Genomic DNA, 26,289 nt, shown 5'->3' with positions numbered 1-26,289 from the left:
TTTGCTCTAGCAGCATTTTTATTTACAAACAGCAATGTCCATTGACTTTATTTATACCATAAAAAAGCCATTTACAAGCAAGAAACAAGAATTCAGAACAAAATTAAGCAGCACTGAAATATTCATGTCACAAATCTAAAACAAAGTGAATACAAGAGTAAAATATCATTTGAATAAATAGTCTTAAATTCATGCTATAAAATAATCCTTAATGGCAAGTTACTAGTTGATACAGCATCCGCTTAGCTAGCTTCATTTACTTCATATGGTGATGAAGTGTGGAGTTGTGAGGTTACCAGTTTATATTGCAAGATAATGACACTGTGTTAAGTCATTCAAATTGCTCAACCATTTATAACGGAAAAAAATGTTAGCCCTACTAATAAAAGTGGTGAGAGAGATGGTTTTCACATTAGGAAAATGGTCATTCTCAAACAAACCAGGTAAGTTTACCTCTTACAATAGTCAGGGCAGCAACCAAAGGCTTGGGCAGCAAGTCCAAAGGTTGAATTCACAGCATACTTGTCACTGAGGGGCAGCAAGAGGTCTGTGGACTGAATCTGCTACAAGGAGAGCCAGGCAAGGCTGACTCCAGGACTTGATCAAGAACTACAATAGCCCCGTCTGTGCCAGACTCAGGAAGGAAACCAGAGAAAGCAGGTTCTCTTCCGGGCCGAGAAGTCAAGCACTGGGCAGAAACAGTGGGAACACTCTGGCACTTACTGAAAAAGACGCATGTGACATGTGACAACCATTACAAATTTGGAACAATGTGAATGACTTTTCTGAACTTTTAGTTCAGTTGCACTGAGTAATATGAAATCTATGATTTATGAACTAGATAGTTTCATATAAAGAATTTACATAATTCCCCAATACTTTCATATATAAAATTTAATAAATAACCCTGACCAGTCTAGAAGCACCATTCAAGGGGCATGTGCCCTTGGAAAATAGTTTAGGTGTTGCATATTTGAGTCCCTTTCAGTGGAGGCTTCACAGGAAACCATTACAGAATTTAACAATAACGAGGACAACAACAACAAAAATCACAGTAACTAAGAGAAAAAGTTGATAAAATAAAATACATTGATCTCTTTAAAGTAAAGCTCATTCACATAGATGATTTTCCCCCCAGCCCTTGTTTCGTGTTCCTGCAAATTTTTCCTAGGGTCTAGGCTGTAAGAACAAAAATAAAAACAAAACCACACACAAAATACGCAGGTCTATATGGTCTGGGCTAAGGGAAAAACAAAGAGTTGGTTATATTTGCTATCATTAGAAAAGACATTTACTCATGCTCTGGAAGATTTAAAAATTATCATTTTCGTTCTACAGTATATTCTGCTCAACAGTGAACCGACAGTATCCTTTCTGCTGTTTAAAAAAAAAAACTAAACTAAAACAACAACAACAACAACAAAAAACACAACTGCCAAGGCAGGGCCAATTGGTTGGGAGGCTTTTTCCACTGACCAAAAAATTAACTTGTCTCCATATACTGTATTTACAAATATAATTTCTAAATGTATTTACAGCTTTAGTAGAAATTAGAGGGTAGAGAACTGATTAGAATGAAAATAACTGTTTAAAACCACAAACATTAGTAAAAGTATAAAATTCTTTGTCTTCACAGTTTGTAATAACAGGCTAAATATCTCTAGAAAAGGACGCTGTCACTGTCTTCACATTGTCTAATATTGAAAAGGTAGCTCAAGAAGAGACTCAATTATGAACAAGCCTATATGAATTCAGGATATATTTTACTGTAAAAGATTTCTTCACATATCACTTTATCTTAATTGATTTCTGCATCTGTTATAAATGAAACACCTAACCTAAAACTGTACAGAAATAGGGACTTTGCTTTCCAAAAAGAGTTGCTCTAAGGAGTTACACAGCGTACTTCGTCTGCGGAGACGTGAAGTGAACTTCAGGGAGAGAATGTTTCGGTTCTGTGGTCATGTTAATCCTCCTGACACATCCTCATGCGGCAAGGCACAATTAATTGCTGCTGCCCGATCTGAATGGAGTTAATCTCTCACCAGTCACACCCCTGGGAAGCATGACAGTGCGAACGCTCAGAGAGGCTACACAGCTCCGTGCTGGCCTAGGCGCTGCCTCCCTCGAAGCCCTGCGGAACTTTACAGTACTGTGTTATGGCTTGAGAATTCATTCTTAACACTGCGAGCAGTGGAAAGGGTAAAGTGTTAGCAACACGAATGGGAGCAAGTGGAACTTGCAAAATGTGGAATCATGATTCTTAGAGAGAAACTCAATCAATTTTCTGCCCCTTAACAGTCCCATTACAATGTTTGAACCTGAACTGTACAATCAAAGCAATGGATATTTTTGTCAAAGACAATTTTGGATAAGTCACTCTTTGGTAAACTCAAACCAGTTAAACAGATTCACAAATACAAAGAACTCCATGTAAATAAGGTTAAGACGGACAATGCCAAGAGCCAGGACGCTGGAAGTGCCCGCGCCAGGTGCCCTCCCTCCTCACTGTCTCTCATACCATGGAATGCTCTGGAAACCTCGCTGGAGGCCCCAAGCCTGAGTGAAAAGGAGGTTCCTTCCCTGAGCTTGACCTCTTATGTCCTTGGATTTGGGCATTTCTTGTCACAAACTTAATTTGTATCACAACACAAATTTTTTGCATTCAATTAAAAAAAAATCAAAACCAAACTTATTCATGTAAGGAAAAAAAAACCCACAAACATTTACCTGAAACCCCAGAACATATTTAAGTGGGTAAACACTTGGGGTCCAGCCTCCCCTTGAGGCACGCGGCTTTAACAGGAGTTGAACAAGTGCTTCAGGGAGAGAACGAACCCCTACTTAGGCAGTTTGACGAGGAAAAAGGCATATACTATATACCCGATTTAGCAAAGCCGCTCCTCGGGAGCAGCGGGATTAGAGTGTAATCTGTAGGGAGTTAACACTGATGTGTAGCGCAGCAGTTCACACGTGAACAGATCCTGTGTGCCAAAGAGATGCGACTGCACAGCTGCCACCCCTGGGGGCTATTACACACAAAGGGCTTGAATGACTTTTTATTTCTCAAAACAAAAAACAAAAACAAAAACAAATCCACCATTGGTATTTTAGGAGCCAAAAAAGCACAGAAAACCAGCAAACATCTAATTCTGTATTCCTTTAACTTCTAGCCTCTGAGGCTGGTCCTTCGTTCGTTTTTCTTTTAGGTGGCTGCACTGTTCTCCTATGGAGGTGCACTGGTTGTGCGTCTCAGAGCCCAGGTTCTCAGGCAGATACCAGAACGCTGACATCCCACAGGCAGCCTGCAGCACAAACTCACCACCAAACTGCCTACAAAATTACTCTCTGCCAGAGTTTACAGTACCGAAGCAATCTTGTAAAGCCTGTTTGTGTATGTGAACACAATACAGAACTGAAGACATTTCCGAAAGTACTAATAAAACATTATTCAAATGGACTCAGGTATGTTTTCATACAGTAACGTGTTTGCCAGCACATGCTTTTGAGGTCTCTTTTCAAGCTATGAACTCAAGAGAGGAAAACAATTATAATTCATTATTACCATCAGATTTCACATTTTCTACAACTATACTGACCTAAAAAGACACTTAACAAAAATAGCACCACATGACCAAAAAATGGTGACACACAGATTTGGTGACACACAGAGTATCTTAGAGGGCTTTTAAACTGTTGGTTCTTTAAGCAGGAAACACTGAGAGAGTGGGGGAGCCACTGAGGCTCTCATTAGCACACACAATACTAAGATAGATATATTGCTTGCAATTCCCATAGAGTATAGCTTTACAAAAAGTACAAATTCTAAGTTCTGCAGTTTCCCTGGGAACTGCATGTAGAAAAAGTTGCTGTGCACCTGAACTGGCTGTTTGAAAAGAGAAAGAAAAAAAACAAAAACAAAAAAAACCACAACACTGCTTGGAGAATTTTGTAGACAGAACTACAAATCCCTTTCCTTAAGTGCGAGTGAGTACTAACTCATGATAGAGAGTGATTCGATTTAGTTACCTGGTATGTATGTTTCTACAGTACGGAATGAAGGTAGATTTGTAGGCCAGTAAAAACCTTGAAAACCACTGCTCCTTTGGGGTTGGCTAATATAACACTACACTATGTAAAAAGGTCAGCACCACAGGTCATCCAGCTTACCTGCTGGACAACTAACAAAAATTCCAAACGGTTTCCAACTAGAGTTGAAGAAATTTTATGGCATTTGGTTTATGTATTTGTTATGAAGCAGAGCTGTGAACACTGTGATTTGCTTTGCTTGCTTTTGGACACAATGATTAATATAAACCTACTAACATTCTTTTGTAAGGGAAATGAAGGGGCAAAACCCTAACATATTAGGTAGGGATGAGATAGACTCAGAAGCCCTGTTCACATTGTATTAAATTATATATTCCTCTTACATTCACCTCAACCAGAATAAAATCAAATTTGAAAATGTATATATACTATATATATAATAATAGTTTTATTATATATATATATAAATTGTCTAACTACCCCCTAAAAGGAATTTTAAATTAGAAAAGGTTACCCATTTGTATCAGCTGACGGCATCCTAATCTCCCTCCGTGGAAGTGCACTGCTGCCAGCGCACACAATGAGAAAGAGTATGCCTCTTGGCAGAGAATGGAGGGTCAACCAGTTGGCATAGCTAAATCACTGGCAGATTTTGGATTAAGAGTTCAGCCAAAGAGGAATACTGTCAGCCTGTGTTTTCCCTGGATGCGTTGCCCTTCATGCTTTGAGCTCCTTCGGGGAGGGAGGGCAGGGGAAAGGATAAACACAACGAAGTGTTCCATCCAGAAACTTTAGAAAAACTGCCAAGAGACCAAGAGATTTCCAGATGGTTGGGAAAACCAAAGATTACAACAAAGCAAATCACAAATATGCATTGATTAATGTGCTTTGTTTGGGTGCACTTCTTTACCATCTTAATCGGGAGCATCAGACACTGTGTGAATTTCCATCCGGGAATCTAGGCCCATCTCTGAGGCCGATGCGTCATTTTCTAGTTTCTGTTCCACGTACACATCTGTTCTCTCGGGGGACTCAATGCGACTCCTGACTTCAGCAACGCCTGGGTGGTTTTTCCGCAAGTGCTGGTTGAGGGTACCTTGGAATGGAAAGCACTTCCCGCAGATCTCACAGCGGAATGGTTTATCATCTGTATGGCCCCGGATGTGGTACTCCAGTTGGTCCTTCCGTGTGTACTTCTTCCCACAGAACTTGCACACAAAGGGGGTGATTCCCATATGGAGTCGCATGTGCCTATCAAGGCTTCCTTTCTGGTTGAAGGACTTTCCACAGTAAATACAGATCAACCTCTCATTGTACGGGTACCAATGCCCTCTCGCACTCCTCTCCCGGGGACTGCTCTCATACCCGGGGTTGTTCATCATGGCTTCACTGTCAGAGCCCTGCACCAGGCCCTGCAGGTCACTGTGCAGGTGGACAGACAAAGCCCGCTTCTGGCGGGCACGCCCTCCTCGGAAACAGCTCAGCATGGACCTGGATGGGCTGGAATTACTCAAACTTCCAAAAGCTTCTGATACATTGGTTGGCTGTGAGGCTGCTTGGGAATAGGAGTATGCGTGCTGGAGCACAGAACCATAGGAGCCCACATTCACTGCCACAACTTGTTCCCCATCAACCATCTCGGTGTGGTACCCATCGTCACCCAGGGAGGAGCTGTCGGAACAGCTGGGCCGGTCGGACTTCTCCATCTTCACTTTCACCTCGGTGATCTGGCTCTCCCTCACCAATAGGTCTCCTTGCTCATGGTCTCCCTCTATCTGAATCTCATATTCAGAAACGCTCCCACTGCTCCCGCGGTCTGAGTGCCCCTCCTCCTGTAAGCGGCTGCGCAAAGCTTTGCTGGGGGTCGTCTCCATCCGGAGGTCACTGCTTGCGGTGGGCTGCCGTCCCTGAGAGCAATATGGAGGAGAGATCTCCACTGGGTTGGCAAAGAAGCTGCTGTCTTTCACTCCGTTTCGACTCTCGGGATTCTCTTCAGCACCGACGGTAACAGAGTCAACATCTCCAACGCTGATTTTGGAATGGATGCTCTCTAGGATCTGCGTGCACTTGTCAATGACACACTGCATCTGAAGAAAGCTGGCTGCAGTCAGAAAACTGACAACATCCTTCAGCTGCAAGGACATTCTTCCAGTGTAACAAAAAGAAAGCAACTGCTCAAACACATTGGGATTTTTAATCACTGATATTGACAAGCCACTCATGGTACTTAACGCTGAATGGTCCCGGAAATATGGGGAGCTGGCAGCAAGGACTGCTTTGTGGGCTCGGAATGGCTGACCCTGAATGTGTACAATGATGTCACATAGTTTCCCCTGCAGGCGGAGTTCGTTTAGCTGGCTCAGAACGGTGCTGCTGTACTCGGGCACATCAAACTGAATAAAACTGCTGCTGTCCATTTCTACTGACATGAAGCGTACTCTGCGGAGAGAGAGAGTTTGCATCATTCACCAATGACTCCTCACTAAGTACAAGTGGCATAAACACAAGCTTACAACAACAATACCATTGTGGCTATCATACCTCCTAAAATCTACCTGAAGCATTCTTCCCCTTGTTTTAGTCTTTCATGTTTTGGTTAATTCACCTAAAGCCAAATAAACTAATGATCAATTAGCCTAATGTCATAATTGCCTAATATTCATCTTGATCAAAAGTAAAATATTTTACACATAGTAGGACTATTTTGGCTCTGACTGAGAAATTGGTCTCCTTTTAGGAAAAATATTTCCCCATTTCAAGTACTTTTGAGGGTTTGAAGTACTTTGTGAAAAATAACTAAATTCAGGCCAGGCGCAGTGGCTTACACCTATAATCCCAGCACTTTGGGAGGCTGAGGGAGGCGGATCACTTGAGGTCAGGAGTTTGAAACCAACCTGGCCAACATGGTAAAACCCCATCTGTACTAAAAATACAAAAATTAGCCTGGTGTGGTGTTGTGCACCTGTAATTCCAGCTACTTGGGAGGCTGCAGCAGGGGAATCGCTTGACCTCAGAAGGCAGAGGTTGCAGTGAGCCGAGAGCACACCACTGCATCCCAGCCTAGCGGACAGAGTGAGACTCCTTCTAAAAAAAAAAAAAAAACAAAACAAAAACAAAACTAAATTCATCTAAAAATGTTCTACCTTACTTGTGTATTTCTGATTGGTATTTTTCAACTCTGTAGCACACTGGATACAATAAATGGAGCTAAACCCTTTTCAGTATTATTGTCTTGATTTGTGTGTTTGCCCTTCAGCTCTGTACACCTTTATATCTCTTTTGGGTTGGGTTGCTTTGGCTGAGACTTACCATGCTCAGTCTCCTTCAGTGAAGAGTTATTATTACTTTTTTTTTTTTTTGAGACAGAATCTTGCTCTGTTGCACAGGCTGGAGTGCAGTGGCGTGATCTCGGCTCACTGAAACCTCCGCCTCCTAGGTTCAAGCAATTCTCATGCCTCAGCCTCCTGAATAGCTGGGATTACAGGCATGCGCTACCATGCCCAGTTAATTTTTGTATTTTTAGAAGAGACGGGATTTCACCATGTTGTCCAGGCTGGTCTCGAACTCCTGACCTCAGGTGATCTGCTCCCCTCGGCCTCCCAAAGTCCTGGGATTACAGGCAAGAGTCACCACACCGGCCTATTATTACTATTTTTTATTAGAGATGAGGTCTCATTATGTTGCCCAGGCTGGTCTTGAACTCCTGAGCTCGTGATCCTCCCACCTCAGCTTCCCAAAGTGCTAGGATTGCAAGTGTGAGCTGCCACACCCGACCAGTGAAGAGTTATTTTAGACAATATTTTATTTTATTTATTTTTATTTTATTTTTACAGATGGAGTCTCGCTCTGTCGTCCGGAGTGCAATGGCATGATCTTGGCTCACTGCAACATCTGCCTCCTGGGTTCAAGTGATCCTCCTGCCTCAGCCTCCTGAGTAGCTGGACTACAGGCGTGCACCACCACACCCAGCTAGTTTTTGTATTTTCAGTAGAGATGGGGTTTCACCATGTTAGCCAGGCTGGTCTCGAACTCCTGACCTCAAGTGATCTGCCTGCCACGGCCTCCCAAAGTGCTGAGATAACAGGCGTGAGCCACCGCGCTCTGCCAAGACAGTGTTTTTAAACAGTAGTTATTTTAGACAACAAGAGTGAAAGGGTGATGGACACATCAAAAGGAATCACCTTCTACTAGCGCTCACAGCTGCGGCACACCTACAACAGGTTTCCTTCCTGTGGCCTAAAATCTGCAGCGCCAGACTGCTCAGAACTACTTAAGTATATATAGCCCCGGCTCCATCCTCTGACAGAAACATAACAAAACCAGATCTAACAATTATATTTTAAAACCTGACCAACAGAAATGTAAACACCTCCTAAGTATTAGATCAGAAAAAAATCTAAATGGAATAAAACTACTTAGACAATGAGAAAACACGTAAAATCTGGGTTTAGGAGTGAAGTTTACTCATGTCTTCAACTTGAGAATGTATCTCCAAAAAAGAGATGGACAGATATGTGATAAAGCAAACACAGTAAAATGTTAACAATTGTAGAGTCTACATGGTGGATATCTGGGCACTTATTGTGAAATTTTCTCACCTTTTCTGTTTGAGGTTTTTCAAAATGAAATGTTGGGAGTTTCGAAAAACAACAACAACAACAAAAAGCTGTAACAGGAAAAGTCAGTGCCTTAAGAGTTTTTATCATTAAACAATAAATACTAAAAACAAGTGAAATGACTGAACTCAGGAGGTCAGAAAAGGAAAAACAAATGATGCCCAAAGACAGTAGGAAAATAACTAATACAGAAAAACAGCACATAATCACAGACGGAATTTTTAAATTTTAAGACAAGACAACGTGCAACTAAATCTAAGGCTCTCACAGGAAAGGATCAGTTAAATGTGCCTAGATCATGTCCGAATTTTTTTTTATCACATCGAAATTTGAGTTAAAACATTTTAGTCGAAGAGGAATACTGTGCCCTTATTTATCCTAGATTTATGATTGAAATCAATTTGAAATCTGTATGAAATGAACATATTTTTAGGATAACATAAATTGGCAGAACTAAATAAGAAACAGAAGTGCCAAGGCACAAATGATCTTCAGGCCGTTCACACTGTTCTAGATGCATGTAAAAACATTTAAAGCATCTCAGTTCATATGGCACAAATCTGATACCAGAAGATGACAAATAGCAGAAAGAAGAAAACTGTCTACTTCATCTAAATAAATAGATTTTAAAGTCCTAACAGAAATGCTAGCAAATACAACCTATTAAAATAATATATTATGACCAAGAACAGCTGCTTCACAAATGTAAGGATGTCTACATCTTCAGAAATAAATAGATGAATATAATTTGCAACATCAGTAAGTACAGGAGAAAACCCATATGACCAAATCAATACTATGTCAAAAATGCATGTGAGAAAAAGTTAAATGCCCTTTCAGCGTAAGGCAAAAATAATAGGCTAGAAACAGAACAATACTTTCTTAATACAATAAAGTGTATCTACTACAAACCAATAGCAACATCATCCTTAAAAAGGAAACACTGCATATGTTGGTATACTTAACAGGGAAAAGAAGGAAGGAAGGGGAAGGGGGGAAGGGGGAAAGGGGGGGAAAGGAGGGAAGGGGGAAAGGGGGGAAGGGGGGAAGGACGGAAGGGAAAAAAAAAAAAAGGAAACATGATGTCTGCATTTCCCAAAATGCATTTAGTAGAACCCAAGCCCAATAGCTAGCCCCAATATCCTCACCTCCTAGGGATTAAAACACACATTAGCATAATATCCCATCAGAAAAGTCCTGCGGACAAGAATCCTGCTTAACTCAGCAGTTTGCAAACTCATTTAATGGTGGAACTGTTCTCTCAAGGTACACATATTAATATTCCCAAGAATGAGTGTTCCCTGGAGCACACTTTGGTAAAACTTTAGTGCAGTCATTCCCATCAGTGCCTGGGAAGATATACAAGGTTATCTGCCATCACGACTCTCACTTAACATTATTTCAGAACTTCTAGCCAAAGTAACATTAAGGCAAGTAGCCATTAAAAAAGAGACAAAATTACTATTACATGCAGATATAATATGCAAATTATTTAGAGAAAACCCAAGAGAATCACTTGGAAAATGTCAGAATAGGCATCTACTAAGTAGAGGGTTTCAAAAAATTATACATAAAAACAGGTAAGATAATGACAATAAGGTGCAACCAACAATATAGCAACAGGAACCAGAAAATACCTAGGGGTGGGGGAAGATAAGCAAAAAACAGGGTCAACAAGAAAAATACAACTCATTTTAATATGGACAAAAGCCTGTATAAATGAAGAGAGAGAACATGCTTCTGGCAGGATGATTCAATACCATAAAGAGAGACACTCTCCCCCAAAATTAATTTATAAATATAACATAGCCTGATGAAATCTTTTCTTAGAAATCCGAAAAAATGATTTTAAAATTCATCTAGAACATTGTGGTCCAACATAAATATAAGACACTGCATGTGTAATTTAATGCTTTCTAGTAGTTACATTTTTTAAAAGTTAAAAAAATAAATTGTAGTAATATTTTATATAACCCAATACATCACTGCAGCATGTAATCAATATCAGAAAGTTGAGACATTTTACATTCTTTTCACACTAAGTCTCTGAAATCTGATGTGTATTTTACACACAGCATGGCTCGGTTTGGACTAACCACATTCCATGCGCTCAACAGTCGCCTGTGGTCAGTGGCCACCAAACTGGATAGTGCAGATCTAGAATACTAAAGAAATTTTAGAAATAGACAAATACAACCAAACTTATAGATGTCAAAATGTGTGATTGGGCTATAATTCATTGGCTAAGTATGTATTAAGTGTCAGGCACTAGGGATCCATCAGTTTTAATTCTCTCATCATAAACCATGATAAAAGCTATGAGATCTTTCACGATGGGGGAGTGGTCAGAGAAGCCTATGTGAACAACTGCTATTTTAAATAAGAACTAAAGGACAAGTAAAGGTTAGTCAGATACATGTGGGCATCGGGGTGCTGCAGGGAAACTGTCCAGACAGAAGGAATCACACGTACAAAGGGTTGGGGAGGAAGGACGTGCTGGAAGTGTGTGCACAGCTGGAACAAGGCGCAAGGGGCAGGACAGAAGCCACTTGAGATTGTCAAGGTAGAAATCAGACTGAGATGGCCTCACGGGCCATTTCAAGTAAGTAAAAAGGGGAGAATTACTGAAATAGATGCTGCTTAGAGAATTTGAATTAATAATAAATTTAGATCCTTCTTCACAGCATACCCCAAAATAACCTCTAGAGGTTTTTCTAAGCACACAAAGATACCAGAACAAACGTAGTAACTACAGAAGAAATACAACTTTTATATATCTAAAAAATACTTTTCAGCAAAAAACAAAACAAAACAAAACACCGAGGTAGAAAACAATAAAAATACCTAGAACATACATAGCAGAGGCCGGGCGTGGTGGCTCACGCCTGTAATCCCAGCACTTTGGGAGGCCGGGGCGGGCAGATCACCAGGTCAGGAGATTGAGACCATCCTGGCGAACACGGTGAAACCCCATCTCTACTAAAAATACAAAAAAAAAAAAAAATTAGCCGGGCATGGTGGCGGGCGCCTGTAGTCCCAGCTACTCGGGAGGCTGAGGCAGGAGACTGGCGTGAACCTGGAGGACGGAGCTTGCAGTGAGCCAAGATCGCACCACTGCACTCCAGCCTAGGAGACAGCAAGACTCTGTCTCAAAAAAAAAAAAAAAAAAAAAAAAAGAACATACACAGCAGAGTCTCTCACAAATCAATAAAAGCCAAATGTAACAACTGAAAAACGCGACTATGTATGAACAGAGGCTTTTAAAAAGAAATAAAAATAGCCTTTACATGTAGAGAAAAAATGCTTAGGCCAGGCACAGTGGCTCACACCTGTAATCTCAGCACTTTGGGAGGCTGAGGCGGGTGAAATCACCTGCGGTCAGGAGTTCCAGAACAGCCTGATCGACCTGGTGCAACCCTGTCTCTACTAAAAATACAAAAATTAGCTGGGCGTGGTGGCGGGAGCCTGTAATTCCAGCTACTCGGGAGGCCGAGGCAGGAGAATCGCTTGAACCCGGGAGGCGGAGGTTGCAGTGAGCCGAGATCGCACCATTGCACTCCAGCCTGGGCGACAGAGCAAGACTCCGTCTCAAAAAAAGAAAAGAAAAAAAATGCTTAACAACTTCATCAGTAAACAAACATCAATATGAGGCCAGGAACGGTGGTTCATGCCTGTAATCCCAGCACTTTGGGAGGCCGAGTTAGGCGTATCGTTTGAGCTCAGGAGTTCGAGACCAGCCTGGCCAACGTGGTGAAACCCTGTCTCTACTAAAAATACAAAAATTAGTCAGGCAAGATGGTGGGCGCCTGTAGTCCCAGGTACTCGGGGGGCTGAGGTGGGAGCATGGCTTGAGTCCTGGAGGTCAAGGTTACAATGAGCTGAGATTGTGCCACTACCCTCCAGCCTGGGTGATAGAGTGAGACATTGTCTCAAAAATAAATAAATGCATAAACATGAGACAAAATACTTCTTTCTCAAATTGGCAAAACTTATAAAAATGCAACTCAGCTGGCACCTAACAAATAGGCAAATGTTACCTACTCATCATAGCATTCTCATGACACGGGGTGCGTAAATAGTGACTTTTGGAATGCAAGGACAAAAGGAAGGTGGGTTCAGGCTTTTTAAAGGTGTGGACTGCAGGGCAAAAACCAGTACAGAAAGGAATGCAACAGAGCATTTCTGAAATAGAATGTACAACTGAAAGCGGCTTCCCAATGAGGCTTCCCCCTCCTGTTTTTTCCTTAACTACTTCTCAGAAGAAAGGTGGAGAACTACACTTGAAAGATAATCACTGAGAAAAACGGAACGCCATGATTAACACCTAAGAGTGGGATTCCATTTTTCTGCAATATGAGAAAGGAAGTGCTTTGCTCTCCTCTCCCTTACATTAACACTTCCTTTCCACAGTGACAATGAGATTCAAAGATTCCCCCCTAGAGCTGCTAACAAGCCACACTCTTGAACAAGAAGCTTCTAAATGACTGGCACATAGTGAACTTACAGTTAATTTCAGTCTGAGCCATATGACCAGACTAAAGGAAGAGAAACTCATCATCGATCACAAGTTCTACACTCCATGTGTAGATTTATCAGGTCCAGTGATCCCAGGATAGAGGAGGTCAGAGCCTCTTACGTAGGCACAATTCAAGTTCAAATATGATCCTCTATCCCTCTGTACTAGCAGCTTTACAACATGGGCTACTCACTGGTTTCTTGAAGCTCTTGATTTTCTCCCCTGTGTGGAATGTCAGTGGGCCTACACCTAAGTTAGATCAATTTTGAATTACATTTTCTTAGAGACAGGATCTCACTCTGTCACCCAGGCTGGAGTAGAGTGGCAAAATCTTGGCTCACTGCAGCCTCAACCTCCTAGGCCCAAGCTATCCTCCCTATAGCTATAGCTCCCTATAGACTATAGGCACGCACCACCGTGCCCAGCTTTTAAAAAAGTTTTTTGTAGGCCGGGCGCGGTGGCTCACGCCTGTAATCCCAGCACTTTGGGAGGCCGAGGCGGGTGGAGCACCTCAGGTTGGGAGGTCGAGACCAGCCTGGCCAACATGGCAAAACCCCGTCTCTACTGAAAATACAAAAAAAAATTAGGCGGGCATGGTAGCAGGCGTCTGTAATCCCAGCTACTCGGGAGGCTGAGTATCGCTTGAACCCGGGAGGCGGAAGTTGCAGTGAGCCGAGATCGTGCCATTGTACTCCAGCCTGGGCAACAAGAGCGAATCTCCATTTCAAAAAAAAAAAAAAATTTGTAGAGACAGGGTCTCACTATGTTGCCCAGGCTGGTCTCGAATTCTTGGCCTCAAGGGATCCTCCCACCTCAGCATCCCAAAGTCCTGGAATTACAGACATGAGCCACTGCACCTGGCCAATTTTTAATTAATTTTATCTTTAAAATACAATATATGCATATGGTAGAACTTCAGATCACAGAACAGAAATAATAAAACTTTCCCCCAGCCCCTCTTCCCAAAGATAATCACTGGTAGGAGTTTTGGGGTATTCTTTCAGAGAAAATTTTCAACATCTATCAGCATAAACTGTTCTGTACCCTACTTTAAAGAAATCTATTTAATATAGCTTAAAATCTTTCCGCCTGTAATCTCAGCACTTTGGGAGGCCGAGGTGGGCAGATCACATGGTCAAGAGATCAAGATTACTAAAAATACAAAAATTAGCTGGGTGTGGTGGCACGCGCCTGTAATTCCAGCTACTCGGGAGGCTGAGGAAGGAGAATTGCTTGAACCTGGGAGGGGGAGGTTGCAGTGAGCCGAGATCGCGCCACTGCACTCCAGCCTGGCGACAGAGCGAGACTCCATCTCAAAAAAAAAAAAAAAGAAAAAAAATCTTTCCATAGCAGCACATACACGCTGACCTATTTTTTTCTAACTTCATAGTATTCCATGGATGGCTATATCACAACGTACTTAACCAGTTCCCAGTTGATACTAAGAAAGCCATTACAAACACAGAATGTCACCCCCACTCCACACACACACACACACACACACACACACACACCCCCCTCACTTACATCTTGGCTTTCTTATGTAAGTAAATCTGTAGCCTCAACTTCTAGCAGAATTGTGGTAAATTTTTCATTTCAGTTGATAATGCCAAATTACCCTCTAAGAGGTAGCAGCAATTATCTGTTCACAGGGAAGGGCCTCCTTCCCCATAGTGGCCAGCAATGGGTATCGAACCCTTTCACTTTTTCAGCCAAACTGATAGGTGAAAGATGTACCTCATTGTTTTGATGTGCTGCTTTTTTTTTTTTGAGACAGAGTCTCACTCTGTGGCCCAGGCTGGAGTGCAGTGGTGCAACCTCCACTCAAGGCAACCTCCGCCTCCCAGGCTCAAGTGATTCTCTTGCCTCAGCCTCCCTAGTAACTCAGGCCACAGGTGCAAGCCACCACGCTTGGCTAATTTTTGTATTTTTAGTAGAGACGGGGTTTCACCATGTTGGCCAGGCTGTTCTTGAACTCCTGACCTCAGATGATCCACCCACCTCGGCCTCCCAAAGTGCTGGGATTACAGGCGTGAGCCACTGCGCCCGGCTGCATTTGTTTAATTATAAATGAGGTTGATATCTTTTCTCATGTTTAATGGCAATTTGTCTAAGTTTGTCTTTGAACTGCCTACTCATATCCTTTGCCCTTATTTGCCTTTTTTATTGATTTGTCAGAGCTCTTCGCAAATTAAGGAAATTAGCCTTTTGTCATGCGCTGCAAGTATTAGATTTAATTGCAATCACTAAATGGCACACTGACTGGGAATTTAAATTATTTTTCCTACATTTATAGGAAATATTCACTCAATATCAATCTCTTACATACAGAAAACCAAAGGGAATTCAAAGATGAATACAAGTCCCAGTCTTGCAGTTTGATAGAGGCTTAATGCAGATTCCTCCCCACTCAGAGAGAGATGGGAATGGAATTCATTTTTGATAATGCAGAGTAGTGATTTATATTAGTTTTTCATTTAGATTAAGTTTGCAGCTGCCTCAGAAAACAAAAATGAATTTGATTATTCCACTCACTAAAACCATCAGAACCAGAACTCTTTAATTCAGGAGATTAATCATAGGTGTTTCTGTCACATTATTCTAGGCAAAAAAACCACACCCAAATTAGACATTTACACTGCTATTATTTTAATTTAAAAAACAAGCACATACAAGCTGGATTTATTTTCAGTATCGATACGTATTTTAACAAAAATTCTGTTTTTGTTTATAAAAACTATACTCTGGAAAAAGAATGTGAGATACTTCTTTTAAAAAATACACATGGATAGAACTTTGTTGAAATGGTTTTTTGGTAAGTTCAAAATTGTCACCTCCTCAACTTCTTCACAGGTCTCTTCTGTTCACTCAATCAATGGAAAGACAATCTTTCTGCTCTTTCAATTTCTTTAATTTCTTACTTCCAAAATCTTACTTTCTTACAAAGAAAGAGAATAATTTCACACCTGTGGAATAGCTTTCACCTCACACACAGCCTCTGCCGTGACCACACAAGGCCACCACTGGTCTCCCAGGTAGCTTCTGGGAAGGACCACCTCTGATGTGGGCAGGACCGACATTCTCCTACTTCCAGGCACCCAGCCGCCCCCACACCAGCCTGGGCTGCTGTGAAAGGGGATGACTGCCCCTGCTGCCACACCCCTCAGCCTCCCCCTCTACTTGGCAGAGTCACTCCACCACCGTCATCATCCGTGACCAGCTTTTATTGAATGTGTAATACATGCCAGGCATGTCGTAAGTAAGGCTTAGGACGCAGTATGTCTCTGAATCCTCCCAACCTGCCCCTTAAGGCAGGTACAATGACTCCCATTTTAAAGATGAGGAAACCAAGGATCCAAGCAGCTGACTTTCCCAGGACCCTTCTGAAGTGTGCGTATCTAGGTCCCTATACAACAACCCCTTATCCCTAGCGAGCTGGACCTGTGTTACATTCCTGCCCTAGGACAGTGTCAAGGAAAGGGATGGAGATGGGGTGGGGGGTGGGGGTGGGCAAACATCCTCCCTATTGCTGCCCAGAATAGAGAAGGGCAAATGAGGGCATTTTAGTAATATCCATCAAGATTACATCTGCATATTCGCTGTGACCAAGCAATTTCAGCTGTAGGAGTTTAGTGAAGCACCCTCTTTGTAGAGCAAAATCTCCCTCTTTTCTAGACCAGAATCACTAGCAGAAGGGTTATGAGGAGAAGAATGTTCCAGGTGGGCCCCGCGGCCACCGTGTATCATGCCCTCCATATTCACAGCTTTGATCCCCCTTTCCTCCTCAGAGCCCCGGACCCTGGCTCACTCTACTTGCTTTAAATAAAAAGCTATCTTTACATGCGAAAGCCTCAATTAATTAGAAACCACAGATCTAGGGCTCAAGTAAACCGGTCCTTTTGGTGTTTGAAGGTGAAAGTCACAGAGAGCAGATGCTGCCAAGAAGACACAGGGTTCAGCCCAAGTTCAACAGAATTCAAAGCAGCATTGAGACCGGCGCCCTGAAAGCAACAGCAAACTGTGAGGGGCCCTCCAGGACTGACCAAGCAGTGACGAAGCCAAGTCTGAAAGCACCAGAGGACGGCAGACATGGAAGCCACACTGCAAAGGTGAGCACAGCTGAAGGCGAGCAGCTTTGGGAGAAATGAACACACGCTGTGGAGTGATGGCCGGCTGGGCAACCAGAGCAGGAGGACACTCACACAGTGAGGCACTGTGGGTACAAGCCACAGGGAGAGCGGCACTGCCTGGAAATGACCGCACGAGCCATCCTGGGACACTCCTCCCACAGACCTGAAGTCCAAAGCCAAAGCGGGGGCTCTGGAAATAAGCAGGCATGGATGCGCTGAAAAGAAAATTAAGGTCTGATGCGAGACCATATGACGACAGGCTTGGTAAGTAATGCTGCTTGACATCTTCGCAAGATCCCACTCAAAAAAGCTACAGAATCCATCACTGCGCCCATGCATCAGGACAGCAAGAGGCTGCTCTGCAACAACACACAAGGGAGAGACACCCCCCAATCCAGGTTAACGCATTTTACCCAAAGGGGCTTAAGAACAAAAAGCCACTCGACAAAAACAGGAAGAGCAAGCGACCATCATGTCACATTCACGGCTGAGGCTGAGAAGGGTGAACAGAAACCAGTAACTCAAGCCCCTGCTCTTCCATTCAGCTCCCCACCCTCACTGAGTTAGTAAAAGAGGCAAAAAGGCAATAACTGCCCTTATATGTAACATTAGAGGGTCACATAAAATACCGTGGCCCACCAATGGCAAACACAGCTCCTTTGAATTTTCAAAGGTGTCACATGTCAACCAATTTCTTATAAAGCACCAAGGAATGTATGGAGGATCTTATTACTTTCCATTTAATGCCACTCTATTCCTATGCCAGTATTTTAAAAAGACTTATCACCAAAAAAAAAAAAACAAAAAAATGAAAGACAACATGGGTGAATTTATTTATAACACTGACACAAAGGCCTTTCCAAGCATGACATAAATCTCAGACGCCACAAAGGCAAAGACAAATACATTCGACAACGTAAAAGTACATGACAAAAAAAATACCCCTTTTCGCCAAAAGCCAAAAGATAAATGATATATTGAGGAAAAATATATGCATATTTGACAAAGAACTACTTTCCAAATTCCTTAATTTACAAATCAAATTAGGTGACATACACAAAAAAAACCCCTATGGGAGAATGGGCAAAGGATACAAACAGCTCAAAAAAAAAAAAAAAAGAAAAATGACAAAAAAAGAAGCAAAGATGCTAAAATTTACTTCTGATTAAAGACGTTTGAAATACAAAAAGAAAAAATAATGAGATACCATTTTTAACCCATCAGCCTTGCACACAGTTTAAAAGAGCTGGCAAGTGTAGTCCTCAGGAATGAATAATTTGGTAATATCTATCAAAATGTAAAAGGCATTTACCTTTTGGTCCACAAGTAACGGGGAGGAATTAAGCCTACTAATATATAGGACCTACAAAAGTGTAAGAGAGACATATGAGAACAACCACTAAGAATTTTTCTTTGCTATAGCAAAAAAAAAAAAAAAAAGGAACCCCCAAAGGAAACTGGTTTCAAAAAATATAATCAACAATGAAATACTACGCAGCTATTAAGAAGAGTGGGTAGATCTGTATGCTTTGATATGGAAGGAGTGCTAAGATTTAGCCAAAAACAGCAAGATGTAGACTAATATGTATGCATATATGTCATTCCCTTCATGTACGTTTTGTAAAGGAATTATATTACGTTGCTTGCTGTATCCATTTTGGAAGGAACCACGTGGTACTATTAATGGTGGTCACTGTGGGGAAGGACTAAGGAGAGGGAAGGGAAACAGACTTTATTTTATACCTTTGCATTTAAAAAATCACATAACTATTATTCTCACTAAAATTTTTTTTTAAGCCATGTAGGTTAGTACCTACAAATATATAATTTTTTAAACCAAGGAATCTAGAGTAGAAAGATGGGCTGCAAATGGATAATTATTACATCAAGCAGACAGTTATAAAGGCAGAAACGAAGAACTACAAGGAACAATACAAGGCTGATTACTTTTGACCAAAAAGATTTTTAAAAAATCAAAATAGAACAAAAGAAAACTTCATGGAGGAAGATATTTTTGAACAAGGCCTTGCATTTCAAAGGGAAAAAAAAGAACACTCCAGACAGAAGGAAAAGCAGGAACAGGGCACAGGGGAATGCAAACAGCGTCTGGGGTAGAGCAGGCAGCATGCAGTGGCCCCAGCTCAGGGACAAGGAAGGCCATGGAAGGAGAAGGCCACAGTCAGAAGGTGGAGGGCCTTGAATACTCAGAGAACTCAAACAGAATTCTGGCGGCAGCACCTGGAGACTGAGGCATGGTGTCTACTCGGAGGCCACGTAGCTCAGCCAGGACAAGCTGGGCTCAGGTTTTTCACGGGGTCGTGGGAAATATGGGGCTGGAGCTAGAGAGAAATATTAGACCCGAAGATACTGATTTGGGAGTGACTGTGTACTGACTGAGGATCGTTTTGGTAAAATGAGGTTACTCGGGGAGGGAAAAAAAAAAGAGAGAAGGCTGAGAATAGAAAGGGTGTTTGCTCCTAGAAAAGAGGAATGGAAACACAGCACCTGATGAAGGGGGTAACATCCTCACCTAGCCCTCTCCTCAAGCCTTTCCACTGACTAGTTTTGTTTTTGTTTTGTTTTGAGACAGAGTCTTGCTCTGTGCCCAGGCTGGAGTGCAGTGGTGCAATCTCGGCTCACTGTAACCTCCGCCACCCAGGTTCAAGTGATTCTCATGCCTCAGCCTCCTGAGTAGCTGGGATTACAGGCATGTGCCACCACATTCAGCTAATTTTTGTGTTTTTAGTAGAGACAGGGTTTTACCATGTTGACCAGTCTGGTCTCGAACTCCTGGCCTCAAGGGATCCGCCTGCCTCAGCCTCCCAAAGTGCTGGGATTACAGGAATGAGCTACTGCGCCCGGCCCCATTGGCTAGTATCTTTAAGTAAAATTCTGCACCACGTATTCTGTTAAGCTGTGAGGAAATGCAACAATGGAAAACTAATGACATCCTCTCACACTGCTGACCCATTCTGCAGAGAACCTAAAAATAAGAAGGGACTCTCAGATGCCATCTGGGCAAAACACCCACCTGGGCCTTAAAATCTCCTCTACAACTTTCTTGGATAAAGCCTTGGAACTGTCTCCACATATCAACAACCAGAACAAAAGTAAAAATGTAAAAGCTGAACAATTAGAAATGTGCTGATTCTGTGAGACTCCTCACTGCTGAGCTTCCACTCCTGGCGGTGAGCTCTCTGAGGGCAGGGACTGCGTGCCCAGAGCCCAGCAGTGTGTCTGGGGCAGAGAGGCTCTCAGTACATGTCAACTAAAACAAGCTGGTGGCTCAAGATCCATGGACTGCCACTACAGCCGCACCCTCAGCTCTGAACTTTTCCTTCTGGAGACCCCAGAGATGCGGGATCGTCTCTGCCCACAGCAAAATCTAGCACGGTGGCTTATTCCAACCTAACCCATAAACAGTCTAATTTGCTCCACAAGATGCTACACTTTGTTTAAAAATATCCAGTTACACTTCCAAGAAAAGAAAGGAAAGTTACAAATTTGGAAGTTGTTTAAGGCACCAGGAGGTACCCATTATTCTCAATCAAGATGCTCATGATTCCAAACCCAGATTTGCACCTGCTGGCTTCAGTCATTTGCTGATACCTGAGACACAGCTCAAACGAGGCTTTCTCTGGCAGGCACTGGAAACCTGAAGATCCCTAATTTTCATTTTCATACAAAGTCATTAAAAAGACCACAGACTGAAGCACCGCAGACAAAAGGCATGGTAACAGAAGTAACAATTATATAAAAATAACTTTTCTAGGTATTTCTGCCTGGGTCTAGATTAAAACCAAAATTGAGCTGTCATGAGCTACAATCTAATCTTTTAGAAAGCAGCAGTCAAATAACACCAGGGCTGTGTGAAACATTCTGGTGCTACTGAAACCCAATGCAAGAAAAAAAAAATAAATAAAATGGCATTCTGTGATGGATATTCATGAAGCACTCATCCTAATTTAAAAGAAAACAAGTTTAGAGTTCTTACTGCATTAATTCATGTGAGCCTGAAAGAACATTTTTATCCAAACTGTTACATTTCCTACCAAGGCGTTAACATTCTCCAGGTCTGCTCAGATACACTAATTCCAAGAGGGTGCGATTTGTCTTTTAGTCAATGCAAAACATCATCAGAAGCTTCTTCTGAGCTTTCCAAGCAGGAGAGGAATGGCCTCTTTAATTTTACTAGCAATGACAAGGACTAACGGTCAGTAGGCTCCTACTGTGTACAGTATGGTAAGTAAGCTCTTAGACGACACTAAGAGGCTGCAGTTATCCCCATTCTACAGACGAGGAAGCAAACCCAGAGAGGCTGAGAAACTTACCCAAGGTCACTCAGCTAATGACTGGCTGAGCCAGGATTTGGACCTAGATTTGTCAGTCTCAGACTCAGAACTCTTATCTCTTATAAGAGTAAGATTTTAATCCAGGCATACTGGTGAGATGCAGGATTTTTATTGGTGCTGGATTCTTACTGATCAACTCCGAGTAGAAAGAGAATTCTCATTTAAGGATGTTCCACCACACAGACAAAGTCAGGCTGGGTCTGACACTGTGATGATTAAGGGGTCACAATATGTTGTACTTCAAGTGGTTTGCAGTCATTTCTTTGCAAAATGTCCCTTATTTTTACTTCTGTCAGTGAAGTAGGAAAAAAGATGTTTCATATTTTAATCATTAATTGAGAGGATTTGTTTCAGATAAAATAAGCTTTCTTAAGGCAAATAACTAAAAAATAGTAAGGCACAGCATCTTATCTGCTTACTGCTGGCTAGCATTTCAGGGGCACTGGCCCTGGAAAATACATTAAGTCCTGCCTCTTATGACAAAAGGATTAGAAAAGCTCACCTTGACTTGCATTCTTCCATGAGGTTTTCCTTGCCATCAACATCAACCAGAAAATAACCATTAGAAATTTAACTGCGTTCAGTTGATGACCTTCACTAAGCTAAATTCAGCAGTTTGTCAGCTACAAAACATTAAATAGACACAATTAAGAAGTTTGAAAAACATTAAGCAGAATTTAAACTAAAGTAACATGAACATTAACGGGAATAAAACGTAACTAGATTCATGGTACTGACATTTTAGACAAGTGCTTCAAATGGAAGGCAAAAGTGGGGGGACACAGCGGTGCAGAAATCCAAAACTCAGTAGGTACACAGTTCAGCAGCTTATCATTTCTCCACCTTGATAAATGTACACCCAATAATGACAATAACAATAATGAAAATGTACTAAGCAGTTACTAGGTGCTGCACATTTTTCTACTTCGTTCCATTTTCGTTTACAGTTCATTGGATTTTATTATCCTCCACACTGCAAATAAGAAACGGAGGCTCAGAGGCATTAGATAAATTGCTCAACTTCACAGAGCTGGTAAGCAGACTTGCTAGGATTCAAACCCAGGTCTCTGATTCCAAAGCTGCTGTTCTTTCCCCACAGCCTCCGAATGAAGAATCACATGACTTTTACCTTTTCCCATGATCAGAGGGAAACGTTTCAAAGTTTCAAAGATTCGTTTTGTGCTTTCTGCACCCTAAGAGAGCAAGCTGAAAACATCCACCTTGAATGGTAGCATTACATATCACTTATCTATGACACAGAAAGCTGATAAAAACAGATTCTCCTTAAAAAAAAAAAAAGGCAAATTACAAAACAAAACAAAAAGTTGTTTACCAACAAAAATCAGGAAGTATTTGAGTACCTATTATAGAAGTCCAGCCCCAGTATTAGATACTATAAGGTCTCCGAGAGGAGTATTAAGACACAATGCCCTTAAAAAAACTCCCACTCCAGTTGGGACAAGAACAAGTTCAACAGCCAAGGAACAAGTGCTGAATCCGAGTGCCACAAAGCCATGGGGGCAGGGAAGTCAGGGAACACCCTCTGGAGGAAGTATATCTGCAGCAGGGGCTTGAAGGAAGTGAAATGGAGAATTTGCACAGAAAAGAAAAAGGAGGCCAGTGCTTCAGAAGGGGGAACAACAGAAGCAAAACCCAAGAAGCCGTAACTAACTCAGTTCTGCAGGGGACAGACTTGGAGAAGCAGAGAATAAGGTTCAGGTAGGTGGGGTGGGGCCAAACCACGGAGAGTCTTGAAAAGACAGGGTGGGCGGTGGCTGGACATACCGTGGCAGGCAAGAGGCCACTACTCAGCTTTGAACAGTGGTATAACTGCCGTGGCCTCTTAACTGATCTCCTGGCCTCTAGCTTCTTCACCAATGCCTTCAGTAGTTTCAACTTTGACCTAGTGTTTGAGTTGAGGAACTAGCCGCGGCCCACCTCTCCTCCTACTTCCCTCCTATATGAACCCTTCTCTGCCAGGAGACTGGTCTATTCACTAACTCCATAGGATCACTGGGCCTGATTCCTCTTTTCCTATCTGAATGCTACTCATCCTTTAACACCCGGCTCAAATCCCGCCCCTCACTAAACCCTCCCTAACCACTCGGCCTACAGTGACCTCCATCTCTCCTTCTTAATTCTACAGCACACAGCCTTGTCTCATCAAAATTACCTTTTCATAAGTAATGTCTCAGCACCCTGTGTAAAGCTGCCTGGAGACTGTAAGTGTGCCTTCTACTACTTTCCCACCACATGGAACAGCATCTTGCCATTTAATAAGCAAGCAAGCACTCAACTATTTTTTGACTTCCTATAGTAAGTTTGGCTTTAGCATAAAGGAAGGATGGGGGAGGGGGGAACCTCTGGAGTCAGCGACCAGCTTAGAAGCTGTTGCAATAATCCAGATGTGAAGCAAAGAGGGCCTGGACTAGGGAACAAAGAGAAAATGGGCAAATATAAACAACAAAAAATTCTGCATGCAAAAACTCGGCGGAATGTGATTAACTACTACTAGGGACAAAAGCAAGGGATGAATGAGGATTAAGGTGAGGTTTAGAAAACGCTTCTTGAAATCATTTTAAAGCCTGTCTGAAACAAAATGCAGTAAGTGGCTTAAAAAGTCCACACTGACAAAGTCTTCAGCGAAACTGCCCAGTATCTTGAATCAGGGACAGCCCTTCCAATTTGAGACATACACGGAATGGCAGAGCCAGAAGGGTTCTTAGAGAGTTAAATGAAACCCTCAATGATCACATGGGGAAACTGAGTCCTAGCATGGAAGGGGCTTGCGGAAGGCCTCAAGACAGAGACTCCCAGACGAGTGCCGCCCTGAAAGCACAGCCACTTGGCCTAGAAGGGCACTGTTTACAACCCCGGTCAGCCCCAGCCCAGCCCTCCGCAATGGCAGGACCAACTGAGCGCGAGTGGCCACGGAGACGTCTGGGGCCAAGCGCAACCCGTCGCCGCCGCCTGTTTACCTGGAGGAAGGCGGTGGCGTGAGGCAGCGGCTCCGTGGCAGCCACCCGAAGGGCCGACCCCTGGCCCGGCCGGCTCTCCAGGGAACTCAACCATCTGCCCTCCCTCCCCGTACAAAAGGGAGCGCCCCCAGGGCTAGGGGCCCGGAAGCTGGGGATCCCGAGACGCCCCGGGCGGAGGCTGGGAGCCCAGGGCAGCTGCCCGAGCGCGACCCTCAGCCGGGCCAGCGGCGCCGGGACTCCAGGACCGAGCACAGCTGGCCCCTCGGGGACGCGCGCCTGACCCCAGCAGGTGCCCGGGGCCTCCGGACCCCGCCCGGCCTCGGCTCCCGCCCGCGCCGGCCGCCTGCCCGCGGGACTGACCAGGCGCGGAGGCTCCCGCCCCGCCGCGCCCAGAGGGAGCCGGACAGCGGCCCGGGGACTGCCCCCCGCCCCGCCTGCCCCGCCTGCCCCGCCCGCGCCTAGCCCGCTGCTCGCCGCCCCCGGCCAGCGTGCCTCACCTGTCCAGAGCGCCGCGCTCACATCGCCCGCCCGCGGCGCCCCCTCCGCCGCCGCCGGCGCCAGGCCAGTCCCCGCCGCTCCGGCTGCCGCCCCAGCCCGCGCCCCCCGCCCCCGGAAGCGCTTCCCGGCCCCGCCCCCTGGACGCCCGCGCTTCCGGGCAGGCGCCAACCCGGGTGGTGGCGTTGCGCGGCGGACCTCTAGCCAGGGCCCGGGGTCCTGAGTCCCGCCCGGTTGTCGTCCCAGAGCCTCGCCGCGGGCTAGCGGCAGCCTTGGTCTGGACCCCGGAGTCCCGACTCCGGGAAGCGGCGTCGGCTCTGCCTTCAGCCCGCGCTCTCCTCGGCGCCCCCTGCTGGCGGGAGAAGGGCGGTGCAGTGGGGCGCGTTTCAGGGGCTCCCGGAATCGAACGGGTGGGAGAGAGCCCAGGACCCTCGACCCCCCCAGCACTGGGGGGCCTGCCCCCAGCCCAGCCCTCCCTTCCAAGACCCTCCCTCCTGCATCTCTTCAGGCGCATGCCACGCACCCGAGCTGCTCCTGGCAGGGCAGCTGAAGGCAGCAAGGTGCAGTGGTTAGCAGCAGGGCTCTGGGGACCTGTCATAGGGGGTCTCTTGACTTACCACCTTGGGCAGGTTTTCTCTCTCTCAAAACGGAGGTGGCTCCCGCCTGTAATCCCAGCACTTTGGGAGGGCGAGGCGGGAGGATCACTTGATCCTAGGAGTTTGAGACCAGCCTGGGCAACATAGGGAGGCCCCATTTAAATTTTTAAAACTTAGCCAGGCTTGGTGGCACATGCCTGTAGTTCCAGCTATTGGGGAGGCTGAGGTGGGAGGGTCGCTTGAGTCCGGGAGGTCGAGGCTGCGATGAGCCATGATCGTGTCACTGTACTTCAGCAGTGGTGAAAGAGCAAGACCCTGTCTCAAAAACAAAACGGAGGTGAAAATTCCCAACTCACTGTTATAAAACCCATGTCACAGAGCATGCCTCAAAAAATGTGCATTTCCAGACCCTTGGGGACACCCCAGTCTTCAAACCGTTGGGTGGGAGTGGGAGCCTCACCCAGCGTTTTCCTCCCAGCATTAGACCAATGTAACACTCTTTGAAGAGCTTCCCTTTGCATTTTGGTGGAGTCAGTAGTTGTGGCAGAGGTTTATT

At 44.0% G+C, this 26,289-nt stretch overlaps 1 protein-coding gene across 4 annotated transcripts, besides 8 other annotated features; it reads right to left on the bottom strand.

Moving 5' to 3' along the window:
* ZBTB34 (zinc finger and BTB domain containing 34) lies at positions 1–25,240 on the bottom strand. Of its 4 annotated transcripts, none has more exons than NM_001395198.1 (3): positions 25,140–25,240; positions 22,167–22,287; positions 1–6,489 (listed from the first exon to the last, which is right to left on the bottom strand). In NM_001395198.1, the coding sequence occupies exons 2-3, from the start codon at positions 22,184–22,186 to the stop codon at positions 4,965–4,967; spliced, it is 1,545 nt and encodes a 514-aa protein (NP_001382127.1). In that variant the 5' UTR covers positions 22,187–22,287; positions 25,140–25,240; the 3' UTR covers positions 1–4,964. The 4 variants fall into 4 exon arrangements, with proteins under 4 accessions (NP_001382127.1, XP_047279358.1, NP_001092740.2 ...); XM_047423402.1 differs by lacking the exon at positions 25,140–25,240 and adding an exon at positions 24,643–24,659; NM_001099270.4 differs by lacking the exon at positions 22,167–22,287.
* Positions 1,729–2,304: an enhancer, noted in NCBI's record as "NANOG hESC enhancer chr9:129645854-129646429 (GRCh37/hg19 assembly coordinates)". NCBI's record gives its function as "activates a minimal SCP1, AML or CMV promoter by ChIP-STARR-seq in naive H9 embryonic stem cells {active_cell/tissue: H9 hESC(naive)}" and the evidence as "EXISTENCE:reporter gene assay evidence [ECO:0000049][PMID:30033119]".
* Positions 16,826–17,407: an enhancer, noted in NCBI's record as "H3K27ac-H3K4me1 hESC enhancer chr9:129630751-129631332 (GRCh37/hg19 assembly coordinates)". NCBI's record gives its function as "activates a minimal SCP1, AML or CMV promoter by ChIP-STARR-seq in primed H9 embryonic stem cells {active_cell/tissue: H9 hESC(primed)}" and the evidence as "EXISTENCE:reporter gene assay evidence [ECO:0000049][PMID:30033119]".
* Positions 24,300–25,097: an enhancer, noted in NCBI's record as "H3K27ac hESC enhancer chr9:129623061-129623858 (GRCh37/hg19 assembly coordinates)". NCBI's record gives its function as "activates a minimal SCP1, AML or CMV promoter by ChIP-STARR-seq in primed H9 embryonic stem cells {active_cell/tissue: H9 hESC(primed)}" and the evidence as "EXISTENCE:reporter gene assay evidence [ECO:0000049][PMID:30033119]".
* Positions 24,300–25,101: a biological region, named in NCBI's record as "H3K27ac hESC enhancer GRCh37_chr9:129623061-129623858".
* Positions 24,722–24,941: a silencer, noted in NCBI's record as "silent region_20296". NCBI's record gives its function as "represses an Ori minimal core promoter by ATAC-STARR-seq in GM12878 lymphoblastoid cells {active_cell/tissue: GM12878}" and the evidence as "EXISTENCE:reporter gene assay evidence [ECO:0000049][PMID:35858748]".
* Positions 25,052–25,101: a silencer, noted in NCBI's record as "silent region_20295". NCBI's record gives its function as "represses an Ori minimal core promoter by ATAC-STARR-seq in GM12878 lymphoblastoid cells {active_cell/tissue: GM12878}" and the evidence as "EXISTENCE:reporter gene assay evidence [ECO:0000049][PMID:35858748]".
* Positions 25,112–25,191: a silencer, noted in NCBI's record as "silent region_20294". NCBI's record gives its function as "represses an Ori minimal core promoter by ATAC-STARR-seq in GM12878 lymphoblastoid cells {active_cell/tissue: GM12878}" and the evidence as "EXISTENCE:reporter gene assay evidence [ECO:0000049][PMID:35858748]".
* Positions 25,222–25,621: a silencer, noted in NCBI's record as "silent region_20293". NCBI's record gives its function as "represses an Ori minimal core promoter by ATAC-STARR-seq in GM12878 lymphoblastoid cells {active_cell/tissue: GM12878}" and the evidence as "EXISTENCE:reporter gene assay evidence [ECO:0000049][PMID:35858748]".

Source organism: Homo sapiens, chromosome 9 (assembly GCF_000001405.40).
Source record: "Homo sapiens chromosome 9, GRCh38.p14 Primary Assembly".
Taxonomy (NCBI): Eukaryota; Metazoa; Chordata; class Mammalia; order Primates; family Hominidae; genus Homo; species Homo sapiens.
The sequence above is the reverse complement of the archived record's forward strand: the minus strand, read 5'-3'. Positions and strand labels throughout refer to the sequence as shown.